Source organism: Homo sapiens, chromosome 8 (assembly GCF_000001405.40).
Source record: "Homo sapiens chromosome 8, GRCh38.p14 Primary Assembly".
Lineage (NCBI taxonomy): Eukaryota > Metazoa > Chordata > Mammalia > Primates > Hominidae > Homo > Homo sapiens.
In genome coordinates, this window is record NC_000008.11 from 41,985,394 (window position 1) to 41,999,281 (window position 13,888).

The 13,888-nt window shown below is 37.7% G+C and overlaps 1 protein-coding gene across 2 annotated transcripts in view; it reads right to left on the reverse strand.

The window, feature by feature from the left end:
- The window catches only part of KAT6A (lysine acetyltransferase 6A), a 122,509-nt gene that overhangs the window by 55,915 nt on the left and 52,706 nt on the right, over positions 1-13,888 (reverse strand). For both annotated transcript variants that reach the window (NM_006766.5, NM_001305878.2), the window contains exon 3: positions 2,062-2,170. In NM_006766.5, the coding sequence (NP_006757.2) occupies positions 2,062-2,170 (109 nt within the window). The remainder of the gene's footprint in view (positions 1-2,061; positions 2,171-13,888) is intronic.

The window sequence follows — 13,888 nt, forward strand, 5'->3', positions numbered from 1 at the left end:
TCCTTTGCAGCTAGGCTCTAAGTTCTGACAAGTGGATGTGTTCTCCAGGGATATTCGAAAGGTAAAAACAAAGCAAAGATCATCCTCCTCCTAGTACTATTTTCTAATGATAAGCAAAGTCATGGTAACAACCGTATCCATGCTTCTCCCTCGTAGGTATCTAGAGCTATTGTAATGATGGCCAAACTTAGCACTTCAGCACCAACTACAGAGCGCAACTGTTGTGCAGTGGACTCCCCCCTGCTTGCACCTCTTCCAGATAGAGGCAGACACAGTAACTCCTCAGATGGGTCAGTTCTGCAGTGACCCCAGAGTCAGTCCTTAAAGCCCAACCTCCAGCTTGCTTCTTCAGCCCTGACAATGATTTCACAAATACCTAATTCTTATACTTAACTTCCTTCCTCTTGAAGTATGTAGTGTGGTTTCTGTTTTCTGAACTAAATCATGGTTGTTATCACTATAAAACACTGAAAATTAAGCCAATGGTCAAAGATAATGCTGGTTTGCTAAGGCCTTCCTGTAAGGTCTTGTAAGTTTTTTTTTTGTTTGTTTGTTTGTTTTAATTTAAGACAGAGTCTCGCTCTGTTGCCAGGCTGGAGTGCAGTGACGCCATCTCAGCTCACCACAACCTCTGCCTCCTGGATTCAAGCAATTATCCTGCCTCAGTCTCCTGAGTAGCTGGGACTACAGGTGCGAACCACCACGCCCAGCTAATTTTTGTATTTTTAGTAGTGATGGGGTTTCACCATGTTGGCCAGGATGGTCTCGATCTCTTGACCTTGTGATCTGCCCGCCTCGGCCTCCCAAAATGCTGGGATTACAGGCGTAAGCCACTGCGCCTGGCCGATCTTGTGAGTTCTTGAAATGTAGAGCAAGAATATCTCTGGAACTGGCAAATTAGGAGATTCTGCAAAATCTTTCTTAGGGCCTAGAATTTCACATTGCTCGCTAGACTGCAGTATCAACACTATTTCCCAATGTGACATATGTAAGTTTCCATCAAGAAAAACAAATCTGTTATCATCCTGGTTCTATTCATCAAGCCTGAGGCATAAATCAAGAAAGACGAAGTAGCGATTATTAAAGAAACCAGCAATAACTTCAAACTGATTGCTGTGATTTAAGCAGATGTTAAATACTGAAATGTAAAGACCAAGAGGAAAAAATAAACCCACAGAAAGTGTTTTATATATATAAAAAAAAACTAAGACCTGATTTAAATTAACTGAATTACACATTTCAGCTATATATTCAAATCCCTCCCTAGTACAGAAGCTCATCTCAGTCACCTAAAACCATAATCAAATTAAAATACAGTCATGCACCACACAATGACGTTTCAATCAAATACAGCCCACATATGGCCGGGTGTGGTGGCTCACATCTGTAATATCAGCACTTTGGGAGGCCAAGGCAGGCAGATCACCTGAGGTCGGGAGTTTGAGACCAGCCTGGCCAATATGGTGAAACCTTGTCTCTACTAAAAATATAAAAATTAGCCAGGTGTGGTGGCAGGCACCTGTAATCCCACCTACTCGGGAGGCTGAGGCTGGAAAATTGCTTGAACTCAGGAGGCAGAGGTTGCAGTGAACCAAGATCACGCCACTACACTCCAGCCTGGGTGACAGAGGAAGACTCTGTCTCAAAAACAAACAACAAAAAACCAGACCACATATGACTGTAGCCCCGTAAGGTCATACTACTGTATTTTTACTGTACCTTTTCTACATTTAGATATGTTTAGATACACAAATATTCACCAGTGTTACAACTGCCTACAATATTCAGTACTGTACGGGTTTGAGCCTATGAGCAACAGACTACACCACATAACCCAGATGTGTAGTAGGCCATCCCTCTTGGTTTGTGTCAGAACACTCGATGATGTTCACACGATGATGAAACCTTCTAAAGACATGTTTCTCAGAACTTATCCCCCATAATTAAAAGATGTATGACTGTATTAATCTCATAAGGATCAAGGATACAAACTCAAGTCAACATACTTTCCGCTTGCCTTCGTAACACATTTTAGAAGAAAAACAGAAGGAAATCACATACCACTGTTGCCACAGTCGGCACAGGAGATGAGTTCCTCTGGCTTCTTTTCTCGGTTTTGTTCTTTTGTACCAAGACAGAAACTACAGATGGGGATTGGTTCAGCAACCGGCTGTGAAGAAAAACACAATTCATTCCAGTACTAATACTTTTATTTAGTATTACTACAAAGACATCAAAATTATAGTTTTAAATTCCTACCAGAGTAAGTTTAGGACAATTGTATTACTCTCCTAAATTCCAGCTAAGTAGGTGAGTTTTTACAAAGCCTGCTCTGGCTGGGCCTTTACAACTGGTCCTTGTTATGACCATTTAGAAACTTTACTCCAAAAAATCCTATCCCAGTCATGTTCATCACTTAGAACCTAAATGATACAGTGTGGATTTTAAAAAGCAAACCCTTAAGATTGAAAAATTCAACTGGAATAAGTTCAAGAAGACACAGTGTAAGCGCTGAAAAAGCATGTGATCTAGTACAAGAGCAGTAAGATATATACAAGTAAACAGACACAGTGACTCCTCGGCAGAAGACATTAAGTGAGAGAAACAGTAAGTGTTTTCTAGCAGTACGAAAAAGAAATTCCAACTGTGGTGTGGAGGAAGGGAAAGGTTGAAAGGGGAAAACAACATGTACTAAGCATCAGTATTATGTTTTGGGATCTTTAGAAACTTGTCCAAGGACAGTAGCTAACAAATGTTAAGAGTGGTTTGTTTAATCTATGTTCCTCCTAAGAGTGATGGAGAGAAGGCAATAGAGGTAGTATAAGTAGCATAGACTTAGGTGTGCAGTCTGGTAAGGCCAATGCTTAAAGCACATAGCTTCTGCTATAAGGGAGGGGAAAAAAAATAAAAGAAAGAAGCTAGATAAGTTCGTGAAGACTGCCACCGAAGGTAAAGAAGTTGGACTCTCAAACTCATTAAAATGTATACATTAAATATTTGCTTTTTATATATCAATTATACCTAAATACAGCTTTAAAACGAAAATAAATTTTTTTAAAATTGGACTTTATCCTATAGGCAAGTTTACAGAACCAGGAGATAATCACTTGGAGAAAAATAATTATTGTAGCAATATCAAAGACAAACGGGGAAAACTCCAAAGATAGGTAAAACATTTAAACAGTGGTTACAATGATCTGGTGAAGACAAGATGAGAACTTGAACCAAAGCTAAGGAAATGAAATAGAAGAAATAGCAATGGGCTTAAAACCAGTTTTGAGAGTAGCAGAAAAACAAAGTGAGTTAAATATGACTAAGTGAACTGAAAAGATGGTGACGCTATCAACTGTGCACAGCAAGTCATTTTAAAGCAGAAAGTTTGGAGGAAAGCAATTTGGAGGAAACTGGTGAGTTCCATTTTAAATGTGTTTAGTTGGAGGTACCCTCAGTCACCTCTCAACTGTTTATGCTAGGCACTGTGCAGGATGGCAATGGAAAACCCTCAAGATGCATTCATTCATTGGTTCATTGATTTGCTTGCTTCCCCAAGGACAAAGTATCGAGATGCTTTTAGTCTACTGGGGAGAACAGATAAAGTACAATAAAATGTTTGTAGGTACCATGATAGAACTATAGTAATAGAAAACAGGAGGAAAGTGGGGAAGGAGGTACTTTCACAAAAGTACCCTTTGACTTAAGTTTTTCCAGAAGTATTTAACAGGCAGCCCCACCAGGTTCAAAAAGGTGTTCAAAAAGGTAGAAAATACACAATCAGGTTTGGGAAGGGAAGGTGAGCTTAGTTTGGGGCTTACTGAGCTTAAAAATGCTTATGTAGCCGGGCACAGTGGCTCACGCTTGTAATCCCAGCACTTTGGGAGGCCGAGGCGGGCGGATCACCTGAGGTCAGGAGTTTGAGACCAGCATGGCCAACATGGTGAAACCCTGTCTCTATTAAAAATACAAAAATTAGCCAGGCGTGGTGACATGCATCTGTAATCCCAGCTACTCGGGAGACTGAAGCAGAAGAATCGCTTGAACCCGGGAGGTAGAGGTTGTAGTGAGCCGAGATCGCACCATTGCACTCCAGCCTGGGTGACAAGAGCAAGAGTCCATCTCGGAAAAATAACATAACGTAACGTGACGTGACGTGACGTGACGTGACGTGACGTAACATAACATAACTAAAATAAAAAATAAAAAATACTTATGTAACATTCATGTAGCAATACCCACTGACAATATAATACAGAGAGATCTGAAATTTAAGACAGAGACTGGTCTGGATTTAAAAATCTAGAAGTCATATACATACAAAATGGCATTAAAGCCATCAGAATTGATGAGTTTTCTCACGGAGAAAGGTATGAAGAAGAGAGCTAAGGTGAGAATACCAATAATTAAGTGGCTGGCAGAGAATAAGCCAGAAAAGCAAACAGATTAATGAGAGAGTTGGGTGGAACACCAATATCAAAACATCCAACACAAATAAGCTAACAGTAGTGCTCAGCCAAGAGACTGAGAGATGAACGGCTAGTTGTCTTAATAATTATGGCTTAATCATAATTAAGACTACCACATCCTTTCCTCAAAAAGGAGTATGAAAAAAGAACTGGGGAAGTAAGTCAGGAAAGACTTTATCCAGCAGTAAAAATCTGGGGAAAAAAAAAAACCCAACAACTCTAAAGAAGGCCTAGGAAGAAGGTAGAAGCCAGTCATGAGATTTGAGCTTTATTCTGTAGCCTCTAAGGTACAACTGGGAGATTTTAGGCAGAGGAATAGTACGGCCAAGATTTAAATTTTAGAAAAGTCATTCTGTAAGCAGTTAAAAACTGATTGCAAGGGATGTGATCTATAATCCAGGCCATGAGCAAAGAAGGACTGTATTAAGGCGCTGAGCAAAGAAATGGAGAAAAGAAGATAAAAGATATTAAAAGATAAAATTGTCAGGACTTGATGGCTAATTGCTTTGGGGAGAGAAGCATAGTAAGGAAGACAAGAGACTGGGAAGACAGCACTAAGAAAATGAAAAGGCAAGCCACAGAATGTAAGACATTAACAACAAATTTAACCAACAAATGGCCCATATCCAGCATAAAGAACTTTTTACATTGCAGTAAGGAAGAGGCGGACAGTTCAACAGAGATGGCAAAGACTTCCACAGGTACTTTCCCACAGAAAATACATGAATAACACATGAAAGGCCAACAAACATAAGGAAAGATGTTCAACCTCATTAGTCACCAAGAAAATAGACTTTCGAGAATGGCTAAAATTATGAAGACCACTGATATTAAGGGTTGATTAAAAAGTGGAACAACAGCCAAGTGCAGTGGCTCACACCTGTAATCCCAGCACTTTGGCAGGCCAAGGCGGGCGGATCACAAGGTCAGGAGTTCAAGACCAGCCTGGCCAACATGGTAAAACCCCGTCTCTACTAAAAACACACAAAAAATTAGCTGGGCATGGTGGCGGGCATCTGTAATCCCAGCTAGTCAGGAGGCTGAGGCAGAAGAATCATTTGAACCTGGGAGGCAGAGGTTGCAGTGAGCCAAGATTGTGCCATTGCACTCCAGCCTGGGTGACAGGGCGAGACTCCGTCTCAAAAAAAAAAAAAAAAAAAAAAAAAGGTGGAACAACACATGCACTGCTGACAGGAATATAAATATAAATTGACAAGACCAATTTGAAAATGTTGACGTTATCTACTAAAATTGAACATGTCCATACCACATGATCCAGCACTTCCACTCCTAGCTATATACACAATTGAAGTACATATTAATAAAACATACACCAAAATGTTCAGAGCAGCATTATTCATAATAATACATTTTATTCAAACAAAATTTACCCAAATAATTAGGTGGTTAAACAGATAAACTGTGCTGTATTCATACAGTAGAATGTTAAACAGTAATAAAAATAAACAAATGCTGCCAACAACATGGATGAATATCACAAACTATATTGAAAGAACAGAAAAAAGAATACATCCTGTACATTTTTTTAATGTAATGTTCAAATATAGTTCTACATTGTTATGTCAGGAAAGTGGTCACCTTTGGAAAGGAAGGAAACAGTAGTGAATTGTAAACAGACTACTGAGGTGCTGGTAATGTTCTCTTTCAGGACCTGGATGGTGGTTTCATGGATGTTAATTATGTGTAGTTAAGGTGTACACTTATAATCTGTGCATTTTCTGTATGTATATTTTAATTAGAGTTAAATTTAAATTAATCAAAAAATATAGTATAGGACCATGGTACCTTTGGAATATTCTTCAAGAAACATCAATAGTGATTTGGACATTAAAGTTTGGAACTTAGGAAACAGGCTGAAGATGGACTGAAAAGATATCAACATACAGGTGATAACTGACAGCACTCAGAACGTGGAGGGGGCAGAAAAGGGTAGAAAGTAAGGAGAGGGGAGTACAGAAATGGGATAAAGACTGAGAGAAGCATACCAACATTCAGGAGCACCTGAGAAAAAAAAGGAGACCACAAAGGACCAATCTAAGAGAAAACAGAAACAAAAGAAGTAATGACACAAGAACTTCAACAAGTAGAAAGTAATCAATAATCAATTTTGGAAAGATAAAGTATCTACTGGAGCCTGGGCAACAAGCAAAACCCCATCTCTACAAAAAATACAAAAATTATCCGGGTACGGTGGTGAGCACCTGTAGTCCCAGCTACTTGAGAGGGTGAGGTGGGAGGATCGCTTGAGCCCAGGAAGTCAAGGCTGCGGTGAGCCATGATCATGCCACTGCACCCCAGCCTAGCAACAGAGCGAGACTGTCTTTAAAAAAAAAAGAAAAAAAAAGGTATTTACTAGATTCTGCAACTGAGAAATAGTTGAAGGCATCACTGTGAGAGAGCCCTTGTCAGTGACAGAATAAGAACTAAAGTCACAGGACCAACAAACTGCCATGAACGGACAGAGAGCAGACAAAAGGTAGCTAAAAAGAAATTGCAATAGGTTTTAATGTATTCTAAGTGTTCAAGATGGGAAAGACTAAACCTATTTAAATGTAGAAGAGAAGACAAATGTAATAAAAGAGATTGGACCTATTAGAGGCAGTGAAGATCAAATGATGTGTCAACTCTTCTTCCTGGGCCTCTCTCCACTACACCATCTTTTATAAAACAGGGGTGAGAGCATGGAAAAGTCATTCTCCTCGAGGGATATGTACACAATTCAATGTAATGACCTATGAATGGCAGGTCACAGTACCAGGTTCACATATAAAGCTCATTGTATCACTTTAGCAGTCTGGATTAAAAAAAGGAACAAAGTTGGGTTTAGAGCAATCACTGAAGAGAAGCCTACTTTAGGACAGGGAAGCTAGAGGGAAGACTGAGAACAGTATCGCAACTCAAACTAAATTACCAAAATTAACATATTTAAGTATAGCAAAGTACTTGGCCAATCTACTATACTTCTCAGGGACAGATTAGATCACTTTATTACTACTTAACGAAGCAAACATAAAAGGGAAAAAAAGGAGAAAGTCTGGAAAACAAATTATTGTTATTCTTCAGCATAGGAAACCTGTCTTCAAACATGTGTCTTTATCATCCAGAACAAGACAGTAAAGTTTCTAACTGCAAAAAAAATGGTATTCAAAATCATAACTAAGAAACCGCTAGCAAAATTGTCCCTCTATGTCCCTGTATATTCCCTGTAATATTACTACTGTTAACACTTCTTTTATATATGATCAGTTTCACATTACTAGACTTTGTCTACCCCAAACCAAATTAGCTTCAGCCATTCAAACCTATTCATCAAAGTGAAGGGTTGAGGCACAGTGATTCAGACCAACTGGCTGTGTTGTTACTTAGAGCTGGATAGACAGTTTAACCAAATTATTCTAGCACTTATCAAATAATCCCAGTCTTAGACCGTGCTTACTCATGACACAAAACAATTTGCTGATTAGTCCCAATAATGACAAGTTTATACAATATTGATATTTACAGTGTGAAAATAAAGCTGAAAAGCAATTTGTTAAGCCAAATAAAGGCGTTATTCCAAACAGAGTCAAGCTGTATAAAAACAGTTTTCAGTCACACATGGCATGCTCCCCACTGAAGATGCATATTCTTTGGCCAAGCATAAAAATAATAAACTTTTCAGCTACCAAACCAAAGTGAATCCACAGAGATATACTATTACTGACAATGATCATGACATTTTAACTAAGTGATAATTTCAGTTTGTTTTTTAAGTGCAATTTGGGAAAGAGTAACAGTACCTTGGGGGTTTAAGTCATTTCAGCTGATGAGCTACAGCAACAAATGGTTTAAATAAATCATCTAGGTTAAGACACAGTCTATCAGTTTTCTTTAATTTATTGGTCAAATAGCACTGCTAATCAGTACACCATGATTTGTTTTACAATATGCCAAACTATATTGTTAAAAGCATTTAAAAATTATAACTCCAGGTCACTCTCATTCCCAAACTATTAATGAGCATGAAAACCAGTGAGGTAGGGCTAAAACTATATTGGGTTCACCATAAGATTTGAATCTGAAATGCACTAAGGTGGTTATAGGAAAAATAGAAGAGATATTCAAAGCATTTTCCAAGAAAAACTCTACAAGCTGATTTCAATTGCTCTGTATCACAAAGACAAAAACTACTGATAATCAGTGAAAAAATCTGTGCAGAGACAGAAAATATGCCATATATTTCTCTCAGACCTATCCAAGCTTCTTTCTTATACCTTATTGTTCCCATGATCTATATAAAGTAAACCTGTTCCTACAACTAATAAAAGAAAAAAGGTTGTAGCAAATGACTTTACACACCATTAAACACAGCAGCCACAGTGAATCTGTTAAAAGGTAAATCAAAGCATGTCATTCAGCTGCCCCCAACTCTCCAGTCCAATTGCTTCCATCTCAGATTAAATGCCACATGAACTACAAGGTACTGTGTGATCTGTACTCCCCTGCTTTCCCCCTCAGTTACCTGCCTGACCTCATCTTCTATTGCTCTCTCCCTCTACACTCCACTCCAGCTTCCTTGCTTAGGTTTTCAAGGCAGTGGTTACAGGCACAGGGCCTTTGCATTTGCTTTCCTTCTATATCTAGAATGTTCGTCCCAAGATCTTTCAGATCTCTACTCAGGAAGTCACCTTCTCAGTAAGGCTTTTTTTGAACACCCCATCTAGCATTTCAAAGCAACCCACCAACCCCAATAATTCACAAGTTCCTTCCCTGCTTTGTTTTTTCCCCTTAACCCTTTTCACTAATTAACATGTGTGTATGTATATCTTATTATTTATTCTTAACTAAATGTAACTTCTATGAAGACTCTGATTTTCACCTGTTTTTTAGGACCATATTCTTACTACTAAAAGCAATGCCTAGGCTGGGCACGGTGGCTCACACCTGTAATCCCAGCACTTTGGGAGGCTGAGGCAGGTGGATCACGAGGTCAGGAGTTCAAGAGCAGCCTGGCCAACGTGGTGAAACCCCGTCTCTATTAAAAATACAAAAATTAGCCAGGCATGGTGGCAGGCACCTGTAATCCCAGCTACTCAAAAGGCTGACGCAGGAGAATCGCTTGGACCCAGGAGGCAGAGGTTGCAGTGAGCCAAGAACGTGCTACTGCACTCCAGCCTGGGCAACAAGAGCGAGACTCCATCTCAAAAAAAAAATAAAAATAAAAATAAAAACAATGCCTAGTATATAGAAGTCACTCAATAAGTATTACTGAATAATTAATTGAATTACCTTGTAGAACTAGATATAATAAGAGTACCTTACATAGAAAGAACAATGAGTTGGGTATGAGCCTGATAAAAAGCCATGTGTAGTGCAGTAATAATCACAGCAGTACAGAAATGCTCTATTGTTTACAAAGCAATCTCACAAAGTGATTTCATGGCCATAACTAAGTAAGATTTCTGCCATAGCAACTCAAAAGCAGAGGGAGATTTGAGGCAGAGGGCACCAATATTGTGTACCTTGTGTCGTCGGTTGCCCTACATCTCCTTTAAGCACCCTGTTGAGATCTCTATAATAATCACCAGATGGCAGTATTGAGGCAAACACAGGGTGGATGATTCGGTAACAAGCAGGCATTCTGACTTGAACTTTTAAAAACAGGAACAGTAAAAATTTTGCCCAATGCTCTCTGTTGAAGTTTATACCATGAAATAATTTTTAATCATAACCATTTAGAATATCTTAAATAATGACATTTTCTAGATACACAGATATATCATCTGAGATATTCCCATCTAAAAAGTCCAATTTTCATTTCTTTTTTTTTTTTTTTTTTTGAGATGGAGTTTTGCTCTTGTTGCCCAGGCGGGAGTGCAATGAGGTGATCTCAGCTCACTGCAACCTCCATCTCCTGGTTCAAGTGATTCTCTTGCCTCAGCCTCTCGAGTAGCTGGGATTACAGGCATGTGCCACCACACCCAGCTAATTTTGTATCTTTAGTTGAGACGGGGGTTTCACTAGGTTGGTCAGGCTGGTCTCGAACTCTTAACCACAGGTGATTCACCCACCTTGGCCTCCCAGACTGCTGGGATTACAGGAGTGAGCCACCACGCCCGGTCCCAATTTTCATTTCTTTCCCCCAATACTGTCTTTAATTTTTTAAAGGCCATAAACCTTATCTCTATTTTCTAATATCTTCTGAGGCACTCAAATCTAACTTTATTTTGTCTCTATTCTTAAACACTGACAAAAAGAACAGTCAAGAACCTGTTTTATTATATGCAATTATTTCTAGTTAAGACTGAATTGAATGATAAATTCTATAATTTGTCACCACTGAAATTTTCATGGAAAAAAACTGCACTTGTAAACTCAAACTCATAACTTTGGAAACCTCTAAGAGATCACTTAATAAGCAATCAGGCAATACAGGTATGTGGTTTCTAAAAGCTACAAAATTTCTCAAGTTTTACAGCCACTGGAAATTACTGAGACACACTGGCATATCCAATTAAAAGAGTATGGAAGAAGTACACATATAATTCATGTAATACTCCCTATAACACTCAAACATGCACTAAGCAACAAAAAAGGATAATGAGCACATCCTACCATAGATTTAAATACAAAACATCTATAAAGTATCTATGGTTTCAATGTCCCCTCCAAGTCTGGTGTTGTTAAGAGGTGGGGGCTTTCGGAAGGTAATTGGGCCATGAGGGCTCCACCCTCATGACTAGATTAATGCTGTTATCAGGGGAGTGGGCTAGTTATCGTTGGAATTTGGCCCCCTTTTCCTCTCTGTCTTGCGTGCTCGCTTCTGTCTTCTGCCCTTATGCCATGTTATAGCACTGCAAGAAGGCCCTCACAGAGAGATGAGGCCCCTTGATCTTAGACTTCTCAGTCTCCAAAACTATGAACCAAATAAACATATTTTCTTTATAAATTACCCAGTGTGTAGCATTCTGTTACAACAGCAGAAAACAGACTAAGGCATACACAAAACTTATGTTCAACTATAATTATTGCAACTCGTTTCTTTAAAATCTAGTAGTGTACCACAAAAGGACATATATTATATATTATATGATTCCATTTATATGAGGTACCTAGAATAGACAAATTCATAGAGACAGAAAATAAAACAGGTTACCAAAGGCCATGGGAAGTGGAGAATGGGAAGTTATTGTTTAATGGATACAGAGTCTGTTTGAGATGATGGAAACGTTCTGAATGGATGGAAAAGAAATTGATGGTATCACGACAGTGTGAATGTACTTAATGCCACTGAATTATACACTTAAATAGTTAAAATGGTAAATTTTTATATAAATTTTACAATATAAAAATGAACAAAACCAATTAGTATAGATTTTTCATATTCTCACAAATCAGATGATTTAAGTAATAGGTCAAAACCCATGCAATGAAAAGCAACTACTATAATTTGTTCTCATCTTGAAACCTGTATTTTTAACCATTCCTGTGGAACCCTAGGAATATGTTAAATCTGGTATGCAGTAAACAGAATTAGAAATATAATTGTAGCCCATCAAAAATGGAAAAAAAAGTTACTAATAACAATTATATTTGGCTACTGAATTTAAATGTTAGCCATTTTATTTTCACTGTACCTACATGGAAGTTAGTTATCTTTTAATCCAATTGCATAAAAACAACTCACTTTGTCTTAAGAAAAATTTTTAAGAATTAAATCTATAGATCAAACACTTTTCAGTCTCAAACAAAAAATTCTTTCTGACCACCATATATCTTATCCATCCAGGTTACTCTGAGCATAAACCACCATAAGCTTCTCTCAAATCTATCCCTCTACAACTACAACCTAGACTGCCTCTCCAGTCCTCTAGTGGCTCCCAGGTACTTCATCCTACTCCCTTCTTCTATAATCAAGTAAAGTAAATTTAACTTGAAATTAACTTTCTTCGGTGGGTATTTGTTTCACAGAACTTGAAACAAATAATTTTCAGCAGAGACATTATCTATAAGCTGATAAACATCTACTGACAAGCACTCTACTATACAAATACCTGAAGGATTAAGAGGAGTTAAGTCTTAAGCTTAGAAGGGTGGAAAATTGGACTATTTTCAGGCATGGTATAGTGAAGGAAACCAAAATGATGCTCAATGACTGGGCATGAGGAAAACGAGTATTGCTAGGTTGTCAAAATATAACCCAATACACAGTAAGAAGTCTAGTAAATGTTACTCCTTGGTGGGCATTTTAACATAACATAAAAATTTGAATCAATCAAAGAAAAGGTTGTACTCACATTTTCAAAGCACTTATAAATGTCAGTCAATTCAAAGACAAAATCCACACAAAACAATTAGAAACCAATTAAGTACCATTCATATTTTCACTCACACACCAAAAAAGTAAGCCTTCTGGAAGAATCTCTGCAAAATTCGTTATTTCCAATATCATAAGAGTAACAAACTGCACACATATTCCCTTTAGGAAACTCATCCTTTGTTGGAAAGTGTTCATACTTTGAGAAAGCTGAATGTTCTAAAACGTATGGTTCTCTTCCACTCAGGCAAGCTCTTCATGTCAATTTTACCAAGTTTTTCATTCTTTCACTAATAATAGCCTTTGATGAACTCATGCTCTGACCAAATCCTTTCTGACAGTTTTGAATTCCATTTTTAGCCACCTTTTCCAAACTGATATCCTAGGTGAGCAGATATCACCACTTAATTCACCTATGCCTTGCACTTAGTATATACTAAGTAAGCGTTTGTTGAAATTAAAATGCAATGAAACCATGCTTAGCTCCATTTATCATTACTTACTCAGAGCCTTTCCTCCTAGATTCTATATCTTCAAGGAAACTATATCTGGGTGGACTTTAATCTCTTTAAATTCTTCAGCATCCCATATACTATCAAGTACTCTATGGCTGCTTATTAAACATTTTTAAGGATAAGCTGTTCTCAAAAGTACACACCTGCAAAAGATTTATAATAATTAAAAAAAAAATGAATGGCCTGGGAAAAGACCTATAATTTCCATTACTTATAGTATATAACTTTCTATAATTTTAATCAATTCCAACATAACCCATTAGCCATTACAAAACTTTAATAGGGATGCTAAATTGAATTCATTTTTATTATGATGAGTTCATTCAATGACTTCTACAATTAGACATCAATAAGATTACTGGTGAAAGTTAATGATATAATTGGATCAGTAATGATAAACTTCAATTTCCACTTTTACTATGTATGTAGATTATTGGAAATTCAGATAAGAAATCAATCATCTATTAAGATACTCTAACAATCTTCTATTTCTTAATCAGAAGTGACATCAAAAATGACAATATCCATATTTGCTGAATTTAAATTCTAAGTTAAGAAACTGCAAAGCGTTATCTTCCTTTCACAGGTTTAGTGGT